The following is a 20,493-nucleotide window of genomic DNA, read 5'->3' on the forward strand; positions in this document are numbered from 1 at the left end:
GCAGTGGCGCAATCACAGCTCGCTGCAGCCTTAACCTCCCAGGTTCAAGTGACCCTCCCATTTCAGCCTCCCAAGTAGCTGGGACCACAGGCGTGCACTACCACATCTGGCTCAATTAAGCAGGTGCATCTTATTCCCAAGGTGCTCAATCAGATACCAGATCCCTCTAGGATCAAATGGGGGACAGAAACCAGAATGAGGTGGAAGAAGACAGGCCCAGCTCCCAAAGGGGCCCTGCTGCTCTGCCCAGACCCCAGGTGCCTGCCTTCTGGAAATGGGAGCTTGTGGTGAGGTATTTAGCATGGGAGGGAATCAGCCTTGGCTGGGCCTTACTTTACTGACAAGCCAGTCCTCTGCTAGGTGAAATCGGCCCGAGAGAAGCCCCGAGCATGAATCTCAGAAAGTGGGAAGTAAGGCTGAGGCCCAGCAGTAGAGTTAGGACAACCCCAGGGTTGGGAGAGTGAAGGGAACTGGGCAGAAAGCTGGACTGGCCCCATCCAGGGCAGGAGGCCCTGAGGGCAGAATGGTGATGCCTCTGGATAGTGCAGGCCAACCCTGCCCATGCCTGGGTCAATTTTGTTAGGGTAGAATCCCAGGAAAATGAGGCATGGGAGAGAGCCTGATGTCTAGGTCATGAAATCATGTGGCCTGTGTCCTACTACCCCGAGTCCTGGGCAGCACTCTCACCTGAATGGAGGCTGAGGCCACCTGGCCAGCTTGGTCAAAGTCCAGGGAGAGGATCTGGGAGAAGCGGGTGGCATTGCCATTAATGATGGTGGGGCTGTTCCCAAAGGCTTCCAGGAGGGTGTACAGAGCCTGCCACTTCTCCACTGCAGAATACAGGCCCAAGGGGATATCAGGAAAGCCAGGGGCAGCTTATCCCCCAGCTAGGAGCTACCCCAGAGGTATGAAGGCTTGGGGCCATTCAGACCAGAACTGCCCGTGGACAGAGGGGTTTCGGGGGGATGGAAAGGCCAGGGAGAAAAAGAGCTGGCACTTAAGAGGGTGCTCTCTCCTCACTCCCCTCCCCTCACCCCACTTTCAGTTTTCTCCCTTGTCCCTGCCTCACCAGAAAACACCTTGTTCCCGCTGATGCCCGCGATGGTGGCCAGGTACTGCACCAGATGCTGGCAGCTGGTGGTCTTGCCACTGCCACTACTGCCCAGGAGGATGATTGACTGATCCTGACGGCTCATCAGCATCGCCCTGTATGCGGTCTGGGCCACTGCATAGATGTGGGGTGCCATGTCCTCCCGCCGACAACCCTTGAACATGTGCATCACCTTGGGCAGGAGAGCAAGGGAGAGAAGGGGTTGGCTCTTAGCTGATCCCATTAAGACACCCCTCACCCCCAAGGTCCACATCTTTCTGGATTTTCCCTCCTGTAGTGCCCAGGGATTCCAAGGCCAAGGCCATGCATGGAAATGAAGACACTAAGTCCTGGACTCCATCAAAGGTTGTGGGGAGGTCCTGTCCCCCATCTCTTGAAATGACTCCTCTTCCCAAGGTCAACTGTGAGAGTGGACAGGAGCCCAGTGGGGTGCCACAGGGGAAGGGCAGAGAGCCAGGGCAGGGGGTGGGACCAGGAGTCTGCAGGGTAGCCTTGAGGGTGCTGCACCTTCTCAGAGTACACAGCAGGGGCCCCACGGGGGCCAAGAACCAGCAGGCTGGGGCCAGCATACGTGTGCAGCAGGCTAGCGCCATAGCGCTGGCGCAAGGTGTGCAGGACGCTGGACTCATTGAGGTACACCAGTGAGGCCAGATCCTCCAGACGGTCGCAGGAGGGAGCATTAGCCTGTGTGGGAGGACAGGCGGGTGGGTATTAGAGCAGCAGAGCCCATCTCCGCTGCCAGAGGATGGGCCTGCCCTGCCCAGTGCACTCCTGAGCCTCCTCCCCCACACCCAGCCCCCTGCCCACCTACCTTCTCAACGTCATCCTCATCCACATCCAGGATGGCCCCATCGTGGTCCAGCTTCACACGCACCTTCCCCTCAGGCAAGTTGAGCTCCTCAGATTTGAGTTGACTGGCTGCAGGGGAGGGACAGACAGCTGGGATGGGCCTGGGAAGCCTCTGCTACTCCACTTGGGAACTTCTCGGTCCTATCCTCCCCCCCACTGCATCACCAGCCTCTCCTTGCTCACTGCTCAGCCCTCACCAGATGCAGAAGGCACATTCGCTGCCCAGCCCTGAGACCAGTGAGTCCTGACATGTGCCCCCAGACCCTCTGAGACTCACCCAGTGAGAAGCCGTCCCTATGGACCAGCCACACCTTCTCCGTCTCATTCCAGGCCTCTTCTGCTGCAATCTGTTCTTCTGTTTTCGCCTGTCAGAGAGAGAGAAGAATAAACAGGCCCTGCTATGGAAGACAGGGACAAGGACAGCCGTAGAGGGGAGACAAGTGAGGGCATGGGCTTTGAGACAAGCCACTGGGCAAGGAATGAGTTAGGTGACAGACACAGAACACAGGGACATCAGAGGTGTCTGGGAAAGAGGGTGGGGAAGCTAGGAGGCAAGGGTGGCTCTAAGGAGCCCTGAGGACAGGACACAAAGGCTAGAGACCGTACCATCAGTGAGGGTCTGGCAAGACAGGGACACAGGGATCTTGTGCCCAGGAAAGAGGAGACCCCAGGAAAGCAAATCACCAGGTTCTCCCTCAGCCACCCTCTGCTCCTCCACCCTGTCAAGCCCAGGAGATCAGTGTCCTGAGTCCAAGGCCCTAGACCCTAGCCACAGCTACTAGGATCTTCCGTGCCCAGCTTCTCCCTTCATCCAAATGATAGGGCCTCCTTTGCCAAGCTGGGAGAGGGCATGTCCTCAGATCTCAGCGGGGAGTCGCCTGGACTTCGCAGTACAGAATGATAGGTGGGCTCAGAGCCCTGGCCTCAGCCCTGGCCCTCCCCTCCAGAGGGTGCTCTACCCGGACCGGGGGACAGTGCCCAGGTGCACACATCAGCCTCCCTGCTCCTTCTCCATGCCGCCATCAGCAAAGACCCCTGTCACACAGACCTAGTGGACACGCTAATGCCATACAAAGGCACGAGGCAGTGCGGCCAGAGATATGGGGGTAGGGGCAGCCCTGCCCTGTCAAACACAGGGAGAGGCTTACACGTTATACAGATGGGCACAGGAGTGGTGTAAAGGGGCTAGAAGCCCCCAGAGGCCTCAGGAGGTCACCAACTCAGACATAAGCATTCATAGGTACTGACGGTGTGGGGCTGTCAAACCTGGCACCCTCTAAGAAGGACACTTGAACTGGGAAGAAACGGTGTCTGGGGGAGCTGGGGAAACAGACGAGGGACCCAGGGCCCATCGGGCTCCTCTTGTTGTGTGTGGGCGAAATGGCAGCAAGGTCATCCCGTGCCCCGGGTGGGGGATGGGCACCCCAGTGGCATGGACCCACCCTCAGGTTAGCCCGAGCCCCTACACTCTCGGAGGGCCCCAGCTGTGAGGCACAGTCAGCCTGAAACCTGAGGCCCAGGCATGGACACTGGCTGGGTCCTGACCCCCTGGGTGAGAAATCAGGAAAAGATAAGAAAACATAAGAAGTATGTTCTTTGTCACATTTCTTGGAGTTGAAAGTAAAGGAGACGTGGGCTCTCCTCTCAGGTTGGCTTCTGGCTTTAGACAGATCCCTCCAGTGCTGGACGGCCCTTCCCCAGATTGGAGTAGGAGGGCTGGGCTGCACCAGTGGCTCCCAGATCTCCGGGTTTCATGGACCCATGAAATAACTCTGAATAGGAGGATCACCACGTGGCTGGCCACATTTTGGTGTGTTAAGTGAGGACATTAAAAAGGCTAGTTCTTTATATTTGAAGAACTATAACTATAAAAATCATGGCCAGGTGCAGTGGCTCACACCTGTAATCACAGCACTTTGGGAGGCTGAGGTGGGTGGATCACGAGGTCAGGAGATCGAGACCATCCTGGCTAACACAGTGAAACCCTGTCTCCACTAAAAATACAAAAAATTAGCTGGGCATGGTGGCGGGCACCTGTAGTCCCAGCTACTTGGGAGGCTGAGGCAGGAGAATGGCGTGAACCCAGGAGGTGGAGCTTGCAGTGAGCCGAGATTGCGCCACTGCAGTTCAGCCTGGGCGACAGAGCGAGACTCCATCTCAAAAAAAAAAAAAATCATTACAATGTTGTATATATATATTTTTTCTCAAATCACATAAGACAGGGGAGACCTTTATGTTGAATAGACACCTTCTATGGGCCAGGTATTTGGGGACTGATGAATAAGGTGACATCATAGCCTGTAACTAACTCCCTTAAAGCTCATCTGAAAATGGGTTTCTCACATTGGCCAGGAGGTGGAGACAGAGAATGTCTCACGTTCAGGCATGGGCTGGGAAGAGGGCAGAGATTCTGCCTTTCCAGCTTTCTCTCTCCAGAGTGAGCAGAGTTGAAACACCTAGAACTCAACCAGGCCCCCCTTGGGCTCCAGTGGCTGAGAACCACATGCCACATGGGCCCAACTTGAAGGGCGACACTCGGTCTAGATGCTCCCCAGGGGCCTGACACAGAGCTGCACCATCTCAAGCTCCCGGCACTACCTCCCGCTGGGGTCCTCCCAGACACAGGGTGGGAGCCTGGAGGGGAAAGAGGCCTTACACTCCAGCAGGAGGCCCGAGCACAGACGCCAGCCCAGGTGCAGGCCAGTGGGGCTAGGTGGTCACTGGAGGGAGCGGAGGGCTCCTGAGTGGGGGGAGAGCACCCTACCTGGCTGTGGGCATGAGAGGCGGCCTCAGAGTCCAGCTACCGACAGCAAGCAAAGGAGAGAGAGAGAAGAAGGGTGAAGATAAGCAGACCACTGGCACGCCCCCTTCAGCAAGTGCTCCTGAGTCAAGTGGGCCGGCACTCTCTAGTTGTCCAAGGCTCGGGGTGAAGGTGGGGGAGCTTGGTGCCAGGACCTGGGACCTGGCCTGAGCAGGTGAACTGCACCCAGTCAAGGAGAGGCCAGGAAGGTGAAGAGACACTAGTGACCATCAGGCCTCTCAGAGGAGATGCTCCTCTAAGTCATTCCCGGTGGCCCGGGCAGGAGTCTGCCACTCTGCCTCTGGCCGCAGTCTCTCCTGGGCTGGCCATCCGGTCTATTCTGAATCAGGCTCCCTCTTCTGTGTGTCTACCAGGTCAGGCCACCTCACCACACCCAAGGCCTGGGCCCCCTGCCAGCCTCTTGCCTTATCTCCAGAGCATTTCTCAGCCTAGCTCCCCTGTGGCCACCAGCACAGAGCTGTTCCTTGCCTTCTAACACAGCCCAAGGGTGCCACTCCCTAGGCCAAGGGCTGTGTTCAGAGCTGTCGCCCTGCACCTCTCATAGAACACAGCTCCCAGCAGCTTGCAGTCTAGAATCTCTTCCTCAACCCCGACGTACCCTATAGCACTCCCACCTCTGCCAGCCAGGCACACCGACCCCATCTAGATCCAACCTGGGGACCACTTGACAGCTGCCCAAGAGCAAAGGCACTGTGGGCAAACCCTGTGGCCAGCCGTGACCTCTCTGGTTACTTAAAGCCCTGAAAAGCCTTTCTGGGGAGGAAGGCAAGTCAACCAGGACTTGGATGTTACCTGTTAGAAATCGGCAAGGAGTTATCAGGCCCCACCTGGGTCTAGAGAGCCAGGTCACCAAAAATAGCGACAGCAACCTTCCTTACCACCCGCCAGGCCCTGACACCAACACATGTCCTCGAGGCAGGACAATGTGGCCAGAGAAAGGGACTGGGCCCTGAGCGAGGAGGGGTGCCCTCCCACATGCACAGGACTTTGGGCTCTCTGGAGGAACCACTCTCCCCAGAGCACTTCTCTCATTTCTTTAAGAGAGAGCCCAACATGAGGGCCCACAGGCCGCCATGGAGCCATCTTCATGGTCAGCGCGCCTACAGACACACACAGGGTCCTGCCGCCAGCCTCAGGAAGAGGGCGGCCAGGGACTGGGACCCACACACAAGAGTGGCATTACAGAAGCTGTGAAGATCCTCTCCAGCCGCTGGTGGGCCTCTTCCACGGGGGTCAGCTGGACCTTGGCAGCTCCTGCCTAAAGGTTAAACCACTATTAGTCCCAGCCCAGAAATGGAGAGGCCACAGCATGCGGAGCTCCCAGCCCAGGAAGCCACTGGGACCCACTAGGGAAGGGGAGCAGCGCCAGGGAGCAAGCCGCGCGGCAATCTGAGTTTTTAAACCATCAGATTAGAAAAAAAAGAACAAGTGCCTGGGAGTTCTGGGGTTATTTCTTCCCACCTGCCTATCTTGAGCACCAAATGGCCCTATTATCCCACTTGCCCTCTGGACCCTTCCCCAGGCCCAGGTGACAGGTGGCTAAACTCCAGGTCAGGGCATGTCTCAGCTCCCATCTCCTCCCTTGTGAGAGGAGGAGGGACGGGGAGGAGGGACGGGGAGGAGGGAGGGGAGGGCAGCCGCCCGGGAACAGGACCACGACACTCCCCACCTGCTTATGGGTTCTCCAGAGCGACCAACAGTTCTGCCCATACCCTGCCCAAAATGCCCATGCCAGCTCCTCCCTGTGAGCAGGAACAGGCACTTCCCTGATTCACAGAGTGGGCCAGGTGGGTGGGGGAAGCGGCGGCTGGCTTTTCTCTAAGTGCTGCAATGCCCAGGAAGAATGGGGAGCAACAAGGCTCCCCAGGTCCCAGGAGGTAACAGTCAGGGAGGGCCTCAAGGCCTCTCAGGCTATTCCCCCATACCCTCCAGACCCCTCTCCTTCCAGCCAGAAGGAGCCTGCATGAGCACAGGGAAGTAGTGGCAAAACTTGATGCTCCTCTCCCACACCCTGGGAGGCCTCAGCAGGGTCCAAAAAAGGGAAGCTTGAAGAGAACTGTCCCCAACTCAGAGGCCAGCCAAGAAGGCAACACTTTCCAAGGGAAAGAGGCTGGACTGACCCTCCCTCCTGCTTCTCAGCCTCCTGCCCCACCCAGAGAACACTTTCTGGGAAGATAGGGTTGCCCCTATATCCCAAGGGGCCCACTGTACCCATCTGCCATCCAAGCACAGGGCTCCTCAAGAGTCCTGCTGCCAGATGGTCATGCTGGCCAGGCCTAAAGAAGGCAGTGATGGCAGTGAGGGCATCAATAACAACTGTTATTAGCACCACTATCAACGCTACCATTTATGGAGCACCCACCATGCCAGGGACCGGCTTGGAGCATTATCTGTATCATTTCTAATCTTCTGGTTACTTAAAACCCTTATTAACCCTTATTTGCAATTCCAAAATCCCAAAAGCCCCCCCAAACAAAATATTTTTCTTAACTATTTTGGCGGCAAAACCTGGCAGTTTATCCTCTATGCCCCTGTAGTGTGAATATTCATAGATTTTGCTTTGGAAATATTAATGTTTGTTACACGTTGTTGCTCATTATGTATACTGTATGGCACTAAAATACAAAGATTACTAATTTCCAAAATACTGCCACACCCAGGGTATCAGAGAAGAAATTTTGGACCTGTATTATCCCCACTCAACAGAGGAAGTCTGAGATGGGACTTTGCTGAGGTCCCAGGGGATGAGTGGCTGGGAATGCAAGCCCAGATCCCTGACTTGAGAAAACAGTCTTTCCTCCTGGAACTGATCTGCTGAGACTCTGATCCTCGGGTTTGGGTCTCAGGCCTCAAGCTGGCGCCATGTAGCTGGGGACCAGGCCCTGACTCCCTATGGCAAGGCCAACATGCTGCTTAGCAGTTTCCATCCCAGCCGCCAGGCCAGAGCCCAGGCAACTGCAGGGTCCGCATTGGGTTAGGGAAAGCCATGCAGCCCCTGCCGGCCATCAGCACACGACCCTGGGCCCAGCCTCTCGGTCATGCGGGGTTCGCTGAGGTCGCTTGGGGAAGCCGGCTGTGAGGGTGCCTGGCCCTTGAGCTAGGGTGGTGAGGGGCAGGAGCGGTTAGTGACACACTCTTGTACCTCCTGCTTCACACCAGGGACTGGTGACTTGGACTGCTGCTCTCCAGTGAGGTCTGACTTCGGGCCGGTGGAGCCTGGGGTCACCAGCTCTTCCGGTGGGGCTGGGGAGCGCTGCTTCTTTGGGGCTTCAGGCTTGGCTGGGGATCCTGCTTTCTCAGGGGAGTCTGCCCAGTCTGGGGAGCCTGGCTCCTGGCTGGAGGGCTTCTCCCCCTTCCCAGAAGACTGCTTGCCGCGGGCCTTGTGCTCCTTGCCCCTGCCCCGAGACATCAGGCTCCGCAGGCCCAGGGAGAGCTCATCCTTGGCTGCCTCCTTCTTCACTTCAGGCTTAGGCGGAGCAGGGGGAGGTGGGGGAGGGGGTGGCGGCTTGGGACTAGAAGCTGCCTTTTCTCCCCTCTTGCTTCGAGTCGGGTGCTCGGGGGACTTGACTCCTCTGCCTGGGGTCTCCTTGGCATTCCCAAGCTCCTCGCTGGGCAGCACCTTACTCACCACCTTCCTCACTGCATTTGCCACCCGCTTCCGGGACAGGCCCTGGGCCTCTTCGCTTAGGCCTTCTGCTGTGGCAGCTCCCGGGCCGTTCATGGCGAGTGTGGGTGCAGGGCTCCTGGCTCTCTGGGAAGTCTCTGGGGGTATCGGGCTGGTGGGAGGCTGAGGACTCCTAGATGGGCCACTGCCTTCCTTTGAGCTGCCCTCTAGCTACAGTCATACAAATACAGGTAGACATTAGCATCACCCCTGCAGCCCTGCCCATCCCATGCAGAGGGAATAAGAAGGTGTGACCTCACGCCCTGGAACAGATCTCCCATTCATCTACCAAGCAACACATGGCTCCACGAGGCTACCCCAGGAAGCCCACTTTCCATCTTACAAATAGGACAACTGCAGCTAAGAGTCTGGCTTCTTTCCCACAAAGCACAATCAGCACAATCAGGTACTACTGTCACCTGCTGTCTATCCCCAGACTTAGCATGGACCTGTGAGATGCCGGCACAGAGCGCCGAGAGGCCTATGAGGTGCTCTGGGGTTACTGGCTTTGTGTCAGGGCAGCAACCAAGTCCCATTCTAGGTGAGCCCACTGCCTCGCAGCCCAGACACAGCAGAGATGGAGCATGGACACAGCAGAGATGGAGCATGGAGAGGTCAAACAGCCGAGTCCCACCTCCATTCCTACCACCAATCCCAGGCCTAACTCCAGGGCGTCCTGACCTTTGTAGTCCTTGGTCCTTCCATCACCTGTTTTCCGGGCAGTCAGACCAAGAGCCTACCCATCCTGAAGGAAAAAATGATCAGGGAGCTCTTCCTGGCCCCAAGACATGCCAGGCCTCCTCCTCACAGCGTCCCTCGTCTGCGGCCACTGTCTGCCCTTCATCTATGTTCTCAAGCACTGAGGAGCCCAGCACGGGCCAGGAAGCTTCCACTTCAGCCTGCTTTCTGCCAGTCTCCTTGCAGTTTTCCTCCTGCAAACCTCTCAAGGGTTTGGAGACCCCCTAGTTCCCAGAGTGTGTATAGCCCTCAAGCAGCCTCAGCTCCAATCTTCCCTGGAGTGGACTGGTATACTCTAGCTGGTGTGCCCACCCTTCCCCCACACACTGGTGCTAACTGTCTGGGTCCCAAGGGACTGCCACTGGAAGGCCAGGCTGGCTAACGGCAGGATAGAGTTTCCCATAAAGCCAGCTCCATTGCCTGGGGAGCGTAAGGGCAACCTGGGTTCTCCTTGTTGGCCAAGCAGAGCTCTGTCACCAGCTGAGCTGTGCTTGAGTCCTTGTTACCCAAAACAATGATCTTGGTTCTAGAACACATATGGGCACTGGGCTCCGTGAAGGCCCACCTGCCCATGCTTGCTTGGATGCAGGAAGACGCTCACAGTAGGCGCACCTGGGAGCTGCTGCCTCTGGATGCCACAAGGAGAAGTTGCTCCACCTTTTGAGCAGAGCTGAGCCAAGGGCCTTAATCTAGGCCCTGGTTACAGGTTGGCTCCGCTGAAGGGATAGAGAGAGTAAGGGCTTGAAGGTGCCTCTTCCTCAACCTCTTAGGCCAAGAGTGCTCAATGGCATGCCAGGGCACTGCAGAGTTGGCCAGTGGCCCTAGCCACTGGATCCTACACTCCTCCCCTCCCTCTTCTGGCTTTCCTCCCATCCCCCTTCCATCATTAAGATGATGACGATGGGCCAGGTGTGGTGGCTCACGCCTGTAATCCTAGCACTTTGCGAGGCCAAGGCAGGGAGACTGCTTGAACTCAGGAGTTCAACACCAGCCTGGGCAACATGGTGAAACTGTTTCTACAAAAAATACAAAAAGTAGCCAGGCTTGATGGTGTGTGCCTATAGTCCCAGCTACGCTACTCAGGAGGCTGAGGTGGGAGGATGGCTTGAGCCTGGGAGGCAGAGGTTGCAATGAGCTGAGATGGCACCACTGCATTCCAGCCTGGGTGACAGAGTAAAACCCTGTCTCAAAAAAAAAAAAAAAAAAAAAAAAGAAAAGAAAATGATGACAATGATGATGATAGTAATTGGTAAGACTTACACAGTACTCACTATGGGCCATGGCACTCTTCCAAGCACTTTACATGTAGTTTTTGCAAAAAAAATAAAATAAAATAAATTCTGGGCAACTCTGAGGCCTCTCCCACACACACACACACACACACACACACACACACACACACACACACACACACACAACCCTTTCAAATCACAGGCTGGCTTTCCAGGATTGTTTGCAGATCAGGTGGAAGCCACAGTGCCTGGCTAATCAAACTGACCAAGGAAGTGCAGGGAGCCAGGACAGGCACCATCTGGGGTAATGAAGTAAGAATATGTGTTGTGATCCAGCTCTGCCCCAGAGCCCTGGGCACTCCTGCCCCCTGTGCTACCAGCTGCCCTCTCCTAACTACACATCTTTGGACTTGGCTATTCAGAAACCTAAGGCTATTCTTGCCTTAGGAGAGTCCAGGTTTATTCAGGGTCTCTATCCCAATGCGCTGGGGCTGGAGGCAGTGAGTAGCTGGAGCCTGCCTCCAGGTCACCTGCACCAAGCAGCTGACAGGGTCTTGGAAGAGACAGCAGCGACTACAGTGAAGTCCCTCCATGCCTTTGCCTTGTGCCACCCAGAGCAGGCTGAAGAATCCCAACAGCTGAGCTCTCATTCGACGCTCCCTGACCTAAGAGTTTGCCCACCCAAGCCTCTCCAGGCCCAAAGGGTTCAGGAAACCAGAACCAAAGGGAGGCAACTTAAGGGGATTGGGGAGGAGGTTAGGGGAGGTCCCCAAAGCACCTTGGCCATCTCCTTCACACACCTGAAGCTGGCATCACATACACCGTACTTTCTTCCCCTTTACTAGAATTCTCTTCAGCTGAGCCACACAGGAAGGGGCCCCCTGCAATCCCCACCTACTCCATGGAGCTGTCTCACAGGCTAGTCCAGGGCTAGTGGGTGCAGGGGCAAACACACACACGCACACACACATGCACGCATGCACACACACATGCCCGCACACACACACGCATGCCTCGGAGAACTCAAGGATGCACTTACAGCCCCTTCCTCCTTGCCAGGAGAGCCAGGCTTTGGCAGAGTTTTGTCCTCCTCTTTAACCTGAGGGAGCAGATGAAGAAGTCACTGGCAGGTCAAGGCTGGGAGACCCAGCACTAAAAGCACAGGGAGAGAACATTCAAGGGGCCTCCCTCACCCTGAGGTGGAGCTCCTGAGTCTTTAGGAATACCGGGGCTAGGGGACCTGGGCAAGAGCTATCCTATCCTAGAATCAGAACTGTTCAGTGATGACTTCAAGAATGAAGAGTCTGTGGGGGAAAAAGCCAAGTACCCTTGCCCTCAGCAACCAGCCACTTTGCCCACTTTGGGGGCTGTCTAAAGAGGTCCACCCACAGTGCCATCGTGGCTTTGGTTACGTGGCAGATGGGAAGATCCAGCTAATTTAACTCATCCAAACTACAAGAGTCATCCCTAGCTCAGGCAAGAAGTGGTTTGAACAAAAAGCCCCAGATCTAGTGACTGAGGAGGTAAAAGTAACCCAGTGTGGGTACCTGTGGGCCAGCAGCTTTTAGAGTAGAGTGAAGGTTGGCCCCTACTGGGCTGGCTCTGGCTTACTTCTTGATCCTGCACAACTCCCCCAGCTCAGCTGAGATCTTGCTGGAGGCAGGGAGTGGGGCAGAGGCGGAGATTCAGGAGGCCAGATATTTTCTCAACCTCAGACCCACAAAACTGCCAACCACGCAGCCGAGGGAGGGAACCCTGAAGTTAGGGGCGGGGTATGGAGGAAGGAAAGATGCCTAAGCTCTGGACACTGGGGCCAGGGGTTTGTGCTGGAGCCCAGGAGCTGGCTGGCCTGAGTCAGAGGGGAGGAGTGGAGTCGTGGAAACAGCAGATACCATCACACATCTGGAAAAAGGGCAGATGATGTGGAAGCTCTGAAGGTTCTTTCAGTTCAGAAACTGGCTCACAACAGATTCAGAGAGGCCAGGCCTCAAGTTTTAAAAAGTCTTCTCCTTTCCCCTCACCAGTATCTCTCCCTCCAAAAGCTCAGGCAGTCCTATGGATTTAATTTCTCCTCTTTCCCGCGTCACCTAGGACTACAGGAAAAAGACAGCCCTGTTACCAACCCTACCTCCTCCTCAGCGTGCCTCTCCTTCCCAGCACAATGTGGGTAGGAGCATGGCAAGAAGTCCTTGATTCCTAAGGGAAAAAATCTTTAGAAACATCCAGAATCATTTACATGATCCACTTGGGGGGACTCTCCAATTTTAACCAGGGTCTGTGGCTAATTTTGAGCTCAAATTAGCAGTGCCAGGGGCACTGGCTGGCGTGATGGCTGCTGCAGTTTTAAAGCTGCATCTTGTCCACAGAGCTATCTGCAACGGGCTCAATCTTCATAGTTAGCTCACAATGCCAAGGACGAGGGGAAATGGCAAATATTCACCAGAGTGGAGCCTACTTCTTTAAGAATTGGAATCGGAGCAGAGAAAGGGAAGGGAGGGACTGGTGGACAGAGGGAGGAAGAGTGGCAGGGTCTAGGTCTGTGCCTGCTGCCCCCCACCAAGCCATCACTCTCCCCCTTGCTGCCCCAGGGATCACACCATGCAGTAGTTCTGGGGCACACAGGTTAGTGGGAGGACAAGTGTTCGCAAACCACACAGACACACTCATTACTGCACGCAGTGCTGTTAACTTGGGTGCCGGGGTGGCCCAGATTCCAAGTCCACTCTGTGTTCTTCACCAGCTCCAAATCTGTCCTCCCTCCAGTGGCTCAAGTTTGGGACCCCAAATGTCTGGCCCAAGGTGTGGCATTGGGGAAAACACTGGGTGCCCCCCAAGTGTCTGAAACACTGGGCCCAGCTCTGAGCTCAGCTCTGGATTTAGCATCAGGCTGACTCACTCCTCCCTCCCCCATCAGAAGGGCTCTGGCTGTTGTAGGTCACTGCCCAGCTGGGGACTATGCACACGCATAAAGGCACACACACAGGCAGTCCCAAGTCTGTGGCCTGAATCACCCTCTGGACCCAGGTGGCCAACTGGCCTGACTCCCCACCCTTGGCCCCTTGTCCTCCTAACCCACTGCAGCCCCCAGGATCAGGGAGACCCAGTTCCAGCGGTCCCTCCACAGCAGCCCACGTTCCAGGGGTGAGTCAAGGCAGCAGGGTGGTGGGAAGGGTGTGGAGGGGTTAACCCAGAGGGACACCAGCAGGACAAAAGGCAGCTCACCTTACCAGAGGTGGGGCTTAGGGGAGAAGCATGACTCAGTGCAGGAGCCCATCCAGCCAGAATAGGGAGTTCACCAGCCCCCGTCATTCTCCCTGCCACCCCCAATTATACACACATGCCCCAATCCATCTCTAGCTTCCAAAGCTCCCTCTCCCACAAGCCAGTCTCCTGCCTGCAGATACAACATGCCAAGCACACAGGAAAAACATAAAGATTTTAAAATCCAACTTTCCTTTTGCTCCCAGAAGGCGAACCTTGATGAAAAGGCCATGGCGCTGAAGGTAACCTGTGCCCTGGGTCAGAGAAGAAATGGGGGGCAGGGTCTCTCAGTGTCTCTGAGTCTTCCCAAAGGCCAGAACCTGCCAGGATAAACACTGTGGGCAACAAGGGGAAAGGAGGGATGGAGTGGAGGAGGAAGGATTACAAAACTCAAGAGGGCATTGGAGTAAGGAATAAAATATTAAAGGAAAATGAAGGAAAGTAGGCACAGAACATAGCACTCCCTACCCTTGGAAGCTGTGTGCATTGTTTTTATTTTTTTATTTTTATTTTTTGAGATGCAGTCTCACTCTGTAGGCCAGGCTGAAGTGCAATGGTGCCATCTCGGCTCACTGCAGCCTCTGCCTCCCGGGTTCAAGTGATTCTCCTGCCTCAGCCTCCCCGGCACCAACACGCCCAGCTAATTTTTGTACTTTTTAGTAGAGATGGGGGTTCACCATGTTGGCCAGACTAGTCTCGAACTCTTGACCTCAGGTGATCCACCCGCCTTGGCGTCCTAAAGTGCTGGGATTACAGGTGTGAGCTGACGTGCCCGGCCAGAAGCTGTGTGCTTTGAATAAGCCACTTCGCCTCTTTGGGCCTCTCTGTAGAATTAGGGGCTAGTCTAGACAATGGCTCAAGGCCTCTCCATGTCTGGCACCTTAGGAGTCTACGTGGGGAGAGGCACTCAAACTCTATTTATTTATTTATTTATTGAGTCGGAGTTTCACTCTTGTTGCCCAGGCTGGAGTACAATGGCGTGATCTCGGCTCACTGCAACCTCCACCTCCCGGACTCAAGCGATTCTCCTGCCTCAGCCTCCCAGGTAGCTGGGATTACAGGCGCCCGCTACCACGCCCGGCTAATTTCTGTATTTTTAGTAGAGACGGGGTTTCTCCATGTTAGTCAGGCTGGTCTCGAACTCCTGACCTCAGGTGACCCACCTGCCTCAGCTTCCCAAAGCGCTGGGATTACAGGTGTGAGCCACCACGCCCAGCCAACACTCAAACCCTTAATACAGTAAACCAAAGTTGCAGGCCTGTGACCTAGGAGAGGAATTGAGGAATCTGCCTCAGGACCCCAGCGACTTTGCCTTCCAGCTGTAACACACAATTACGTGGGGCAAGAGGCCCGGAGAACTGCAAAACTGTCCATCTATGGATTAGAAACCAGAGCTGGGCCGCTTGAAAAATCAAGTCAGAATCTGCCTCAGTCCAGGGAGAGGCTGCATCCAAAGAATCAGGGCACTTCAGTGGAGTTTAATAACTGGTTCTTTTTTTTTTTTTAATTGAGACAGAGTCTCATCTCACTCTATCACCCAGGCTGGAGTACAGTGGTGCAATCTTGCCTCACTGCAACCTCCGCCTCCCGGGTTCACGCCATTCTCCTGCCTCAGCCTCCCGAGTAGCTGGGACTACAGGTGTCCACCACCATGCCCAGCTAATTTTTTGTATTTTTTTAGTAGAGGCAGGGTTTCACCGTGTGAGCCAGGATGGTCTTCATCTCCTGACCTCGTGATCCACCCGCCTTGGCCTCCCAAAGTGCTGGGATTACAGAGGTGAGCCACCGCGCCCGGCCAAGAACTGGTTCATTCTTAAAACTGCTTATCATGAATAATAGTTAAAAATTAGGAAATGTTTTGTTTTCAATTAATTATTTCTATTTTGCTTTGTTGACTTCTGTTTTATTATTCAGTTAATGTGCTAGAGACTTTAAGTTTGTCTGTTGGTGTAATTTTAACTCGTTTGATCTTTGATCTCTTGTTCAAGTTTTCCTACTTGTCTATAGAGGTCCCATCTGGCCCAGGCTGTGAGGACACCGGGCCATTTCCACCCAGGCCTGTTCCTCTGCATCAGCTGTTCCTATGAGCTTCACTCTGAACACAGATGTGGGGCTCTCCCCAGAGGAAATTCTCTCTGTGGCTTTTATGCAGAATTGCCTAGACAGTTTTCCTCTCTCCCTTATCACTGAATTTGTTTAGGATCAAGAGCAAGTTATCCTGGAACTGGATTGTTTATAACCCAAAGGATAAATGCTTGAGGGGGTAGAGACCCCATTGTCCATTGCCCAAGCACATGCTTGTTTCTCAATGCATGCCCATATCAAAACAAAACATCTCATGGACCGGGCGTGGTGGCTCACGCCTGTAATCCCAGAACTTTGGGAGGCTGAGGTGGGTGGATTACTTGAGCTCAGGAGTTTGAGACCAGCCTGGGCAACACGATGAATCCTTGTCTCTACCAAAAACACAAAAAATTAACTGGGAACGATGGTGCATGCCTGTGGTCCCAGGTACTGGGGAGGCTGAGGTGGGAGGATCGCTTGAGCCTGGGAGGCAGAGGTTGTAGTGAGCAGAGATCGCAATACTGCATGCTCCAGCCTGGGTGACCGAGTGAGACCCCATCTCAAAAGAAAAAAAAAAAAAAAATATATATATATATATATATATATGTAATGTATCCCATAAGTACATAAACCTACCATGTACCCACAAAAATTAAAAAAAAAAAAGATCAAGTTACTGTTATCCAAGACAGAATGGGTAAGGAACTCAGGCCCCAAAGGTGGTGGCAGCATATGTGTTGGGAACATATGGCTCTCTGGAGCAAGGGTGTTTAGATCTAAGGCCTCTCTTCCTTGACTTGTTCTCTCTCTAGAGATTTCAGCCATTTCCAGCAACATTACTGAATATGGAGCACCTACAATGAGATGGGCCCTATACAAGATATTGAACATTTATTTTCTAATGTAAATCTTACAACAATCTGAGGATTGGTGATATGGGAATTATTATTATTCCCATTTTATCGAGGAGGGAAAAGATTCAGAAAGAGATTAAGTCACAAAGTTAGTTAAGTGGGGGAACCCAGACTTGAACCCACACTGGTCTGCCTCCAAAGCCTGTGCTGCTTCCTCAGTGCCCACCTTTTCTGGTATGTTAGGCAGGCATCAGCTTTGGTAGCCAAATCTGGTTGATAAACTTCATCGGCGTGAAGGTTCAGAAGATCTGGTCAAGCCAAAGCATGGATTGATAGTGTGTTTTACTAGTGTGCAACTCTCCAAATCGAGTTTTTGGATGTGCAAAAAGGGAGACCCCACCATGATTCTGCCACTCTGCAGGTCTACCCACCTCCTCCCTCTGTGGCACTTCTGAGGGACAGCAAGAGAGACCAAAACTCACTGAACACTTACTATGAGCCAGGCACAGGGGAAGGCACTTCATACAGGTCTCCTCATTGAATCCTCATAACAACACACTTTCTAGATAAGGAAATAAAGAAGGTGAATTGCCGAGAGCGCTGCAACTATTAAGTGGCAGAGCTGGGAGCCACAACCAGAATGTATCTTGGGGAGCTGTTTGTGCGTCTTTGTCATCCCTGGACTGTGATTCACCTCTGAGCAGAACTTACCCATCTTACTCATCATACTGTAGGCGCTTAATAAATGTTAGCTGCACGAGAGTGCTGGGACAGGGGTTCTTTGCACAAACCTCTTATTCCCATCTAATCTCTTCCCCAAATATAAACTACAGAGAACAACACTTGCCCATTCTGATTCCCAGGGACATGGTACAAACAAGGGAGGTATAATCTCTAAACCTGCTCACAATAAATACATAGTGAACTCAATGCCTGGGTTTGCAGGGAGGGCAAGGACACTGAAATTGCTTAGTAGCTCTTCGTGAACAATAGCCACAAAATGCATCATCCTCTGGCCTACCCATTCCATCTTCAGGAATGTATGTCCAGTGAGCTGACTTAAAGAAAGAAAAAGAAAAAAAACGCAAAGATTTTTATAGATGCACTCTATATAACAGCTCCAAATTGGAAAGAGCCCAAATGCCTAGAATTAAGAAATGGTTAGGTACAACCCGTTGTTGTATTGCCATTTAAACTGACAAATGTGTGGACAATGTAACCATATGGAAAGCTCCATATAAAATGACATCAATCAAAAAAACTGGAACCCAAATAGTATACAAACAGTGATCATAATAATCTTGTAAACTGTGTGAATTAGACACAACATGAACACCTGGTATTTATTTTGGTATGTATTTGTTACTTACTGCTTATTTTTATTGTGAAGATGGCTAAATAGTCAAAAAAAAAGCAAAGGAGATAATAGCTAGAAGCATTTGTTCTCAAAGAGGAGAAATCCAAGAAATGTACTGAGGGACTGTCAAGCCTCAGCCCCAGGAGGCTTCTGACACTCTGGGAGCAGCTGGGGTTTACCCTCCACCATGCCAGCAGAGCCTACCCGCCCTTAACCTGCACTCTCTGGGCCCCTCACAGGAGGGAATGGGGGCACAAATGCTCCTGGGAGAATAATGCCACGCCTCAGGCAGCCCCTCAGGCCTGGAATGCCTGGCCTGGACAAATGCTTTGAGGCCCAAGCATCCACACCAGACATCTGCACACTGCAAGCCCCCGAGAGCAGCAGGTAACTCTCAAGAGAGTGCCCAAAGGAAGCTGAGACGTAGCTGGTGGCCGAGGTCACTTTCCCGCCTCGCCGCTTCTGACAGCACTCACACACCGGAGGCTTCTCCTTCTGAGGACCAAGAGGCAGGGCATTCTCCTCTCCTCCCTCTTTCCCATTCAGAGGCACAGAGGGCAGCTCCCAGGAGACTTCTTCCTCCCAGTCCCAACCTAGCACCAACTTATCTAGGGATTGAGGGCGAGGAAGGGTGGCAGGAACAAAGGAGAAGGGAAGAAATACTAGCATAATAGTAAAAAACGGTTAATCATTATTGAGCATTTGGTATGTGTCAGGTGCTGTGCTGAATCCCTCACATGAATCATCTCATTTGATCCTCACAACATCCCTCTGAAATAGATACTAGTGTGACTGTGTGACTGCTACTTTACAAATGAGCAAAAGGAGGCTCAGAAGGTCAGGTGACTCGCCCAAAGCCTCACAGCAGCAAGTGGCAGATCTGGGACTCACACTCAGGTCTCCTGCGAGAGCCCTCCACTGCTCACTTTAAGGGATGGAGGCACGCCCTGCCCTCCATTTCCCCTGGTTCACCTGCACTGTTGTCCTTCTACATCAGCTGCCAGAAGAGCAGCTTGGGAGGAAAGCAGGGGTTCCCAATGATGACCCGCCCCTCCACCCACCAACCTGAATATGCTTTACGTGGAACTGCTTGAGAGGAAGGGAAGCTCTCTAAGGAATGAACTGAAGGCCATGCTGCCAGACAGCGGGGGAGGGGGAGATGAGCTTGGCAGGGACAACCTGGCCCTTGCAGTCCAGCCTCCAGCCAGAGCCCTCCCCAGCCCCAGGGCGGAACAGAAAGCAGCCGGGCACCCGCCTCACTGCAGGCCAGCCCAGAGGAAGCAGGTGCACTGGAATGGCTTCCTGCCGCAACTGCAGTTGCAGAAGGGTCTTGGTTTCCTCCTCCAACGACTGAACCTGCTGGAGGCCCCCCTTCCCTGGGGATGCTCACTGCCCCTCTGGAGGGCACTTTGCTGTCTGCTTGGATATCACTGTGCATGGCCCTAAATCTGTGACCTGGTGCTAGTGGCCCGGGGGTGGCTGGGGGAGAGTACCCTAGACCAGGAAGCGCCCATCTCTCAGGGTGAGGAGCTCTCTCTGACCTCTCCCCCACCCCCGGGCATACTGCCCACACAACTCAGCCCTGGTGCCAGTTTGGGGGCTGAGGCAGGGCAGTCCTGAGCACAGAGAGATACAAGTACTCACGGGTACATCTCAGGCTCCTGATGCACCTCCGCACCAGGCCAGCCCACGTACTCTGCCAACTGCTGACACAACTGAAAACCTTACCCTTGGTGGCTGGGAGGGGTAGAGTCAGGGGAACGGGAAGGACTGGGAGCAGCTATGTCTCTCCTCACTTTCTTTTTTAAGGAACTTACTTATCTGGAGTAATCTCTACTAAAAAAGAGACTTAGGGCCAGTCAGAGCATCCCCAACACGCCATCTGTGCCCCTTGCAAGTGTCCTATGCACAGAAATGGAGGTGGCCATGCTAAGACTACTCTTGGGGACAGCGAGAAGGGTGCTCCCTGACAACTCCAAGGACCATCCCCTCTCAAGGAGGAAGAGAGGAAAGAGCTATACCAGCAACAAAGCAGAGACAAGACTACCGAGGACCTTGGGTGCTGTGGGGCTGGGGCTTTGGAAGAAAACAGTGTTCTAAGGAATGAAGGCCAAAAAAGCACTAATGGTTGGTGGGGAAGGCGTGTCACAGCCTTGGGGGTGGATGCAACCCCAGGAAACTGAGGTTCAGAAGACAGTGCCCCTCCAAAACTCCTGAAGTCATGAGTCAGGCCCAGGATGCCCTGCTCCTAGCCACGGAGGGGTTTTGAGGCTTCCGGGGCTGAGTAACTCCCTTCTTACCAAGAAGCTCGGAGAGGAGCCCCAAGGCTGCCCCACCCCTCTCCCCACCTACTTCAGCCACATCTGGGGAAATCACAAAAAGGTCCCTCCTTTCCTAAATGAGGAAATAGCATGAGGAGCCTGGGACATTTCCGGGGTGGGGGGTCAGAGGGACACTCACCCGCATGGCCTGGCCTGGAGCAGCCCAGAGCAAGGAGACTCCGCTCTGATGCTGCTCTGGCTCCGTTAGCAGCTCAAAATAG

At 54.0% G+C, this 20,493-nt stretch overlaps 1 protein-coding gene across 6 annotated transcripts in view, besides 6 other annotated features; it reads right to left on the reverse strand.

The window, feature by feature from the left end:
* The window catches only part of MYO18A (myosin XVIIIA), a 109,277-nt gene that overhangs the window by 48,807 nt on the left and 39,977 nt on the right, over positions 1-20,493 (reverse strand). For 3 of the 6 annotated variants that reach the window (NM_203318.2, NM_078471.4, NM_001346767.2), the window contains exons 3-7: positions 2,238-2,325; positions 1,923-2,029; positions 1,619-1,795; positions 1,070-1,283; positions 688-830 (exon numbers count right to left, since the gene is read on the reverse strand). In NM_203318.2, coding sequence (NP_976063.1) covers positions 688-830; positions 1,070-1,283; positions 1,619-1,795; positions 1,923-2,029; positions 2,238-2,325 — 729 coding nt within the window. Of the gene's footprint in view, positions 1-687; positions 831-1,069; positions 1,284-1,618; positions 1,796-1,922; positions 2,030-2,237; positions 2,326-4,724; positions 4,761-17,087; positions 17,157-20,411; positions 20,462-20,493 lie in introns of those variants that run through there. The other 3 variants (NM_001346766.2, NM_001346765.2, NM_001346768.2) reach the window with 2 other exon arrangements.
* Positions 7,549-8,084: an enhancer, noted in NCBI's record as "H3K4me1 hESC enhancer chr17:27454495-27455030 (GRCh37/hg19 assembly coordinates)". NCBI's record gives its function as "activates a minimal SCP1, AML or CMV promoter by ChIP-STARR-seq in naive H9 embryonic stem cells {active_cell/tissue: H9 hESC(naive)}" and the evidence as "EXISTENCE:reporter gene assay evidence [ECO:0000049][PMID:30033119]".
* Positions 13,163-13,457: an enhancer, noted in NCBI's record as "tiled region #390; K562 Activating DNase unmatched - State 5:Enh". NCBI's record gives its function as "activates a minimal TATA promoter and a strong SV40 promoter by Sharpr-MPRA in K562 cells {active_cell/tissue: K562}" and the evidence as "EXISTENCE:reporter gene assay evidence [ECO:0000049][PMID:27701403]".
* Positions 17,791-18,774: an enhancer, noted in NCBI's record as "H3K4me1 hESC enhancer chr17:27464737-27465720 (GRCh37/hg19 assembly coordinates)". NCBI's record gives its function as "activates a minimal SCP1, AML or CMV promoter by ChIP-STARR-seq in primed H9 embryonic stem cells {active_cell/tissue: H9 hESC(primed)}" and the evidence as "EXISTENCE:reporter gene assay evidence [ECO:0000049][PMID:30033119]".
* Positions 18,775-19,758: an enhancer, noted in NCBI's record as "H3K4me1 hESC enhancer chr17:27465721-27466704 (GRCh37/hg19 assembly coordinates)". NCBI's record gives its function as "activates a minimal SCP1, AML or CMV promoter by ChIP-STARR-seq in naive H9 embryonic stem cells {active_cell/tissue: H9 hESC(naive)}" and the evidence as "EXISTENCE:reporter gene assay evidence [ECO:0000049][PMID:30033119]".
* Positions 19,451-19,500: an enhancer, noted in NCBI's record as "active region_11963". NCBI's record gives its function as "activates an Ori minimal core promoter by ATAC-STARR-seq in GM12878 lymphoblastoid cells {active_cell/tissue: GM12878}" and the evidence as "EXISTENCE:reporter gene assay evidence [ECO:0000049][PMID:35858748]".
* Positions 20,191-20,240: a silencer, noted in NCBI's record as "silent region_8364". NCBI's record gives its function as "represses an Ori minimal core promoter by ATAC-STARR-seq in GM12878 lymphoblastoid cells {active_cell/tissue: GM12878}" and the evidence as "EXISTENCE:reporter gene assay evidence [ECO:0000049][PMID:35858748]".

The sequence above is a fragment of the Homo sapiens genome, chromosome 17 (genome assembly GCF_000001405.40).
Source record: "Homo sapiens chromosome 17, GRCh38.p14 Primary Assembly".
Classification (NCBI taxonomy): Eukaryota; Metazoa; Chordata; class Mammalia; order Primates; family Hominidae; genus Homo; species Homo sapiens.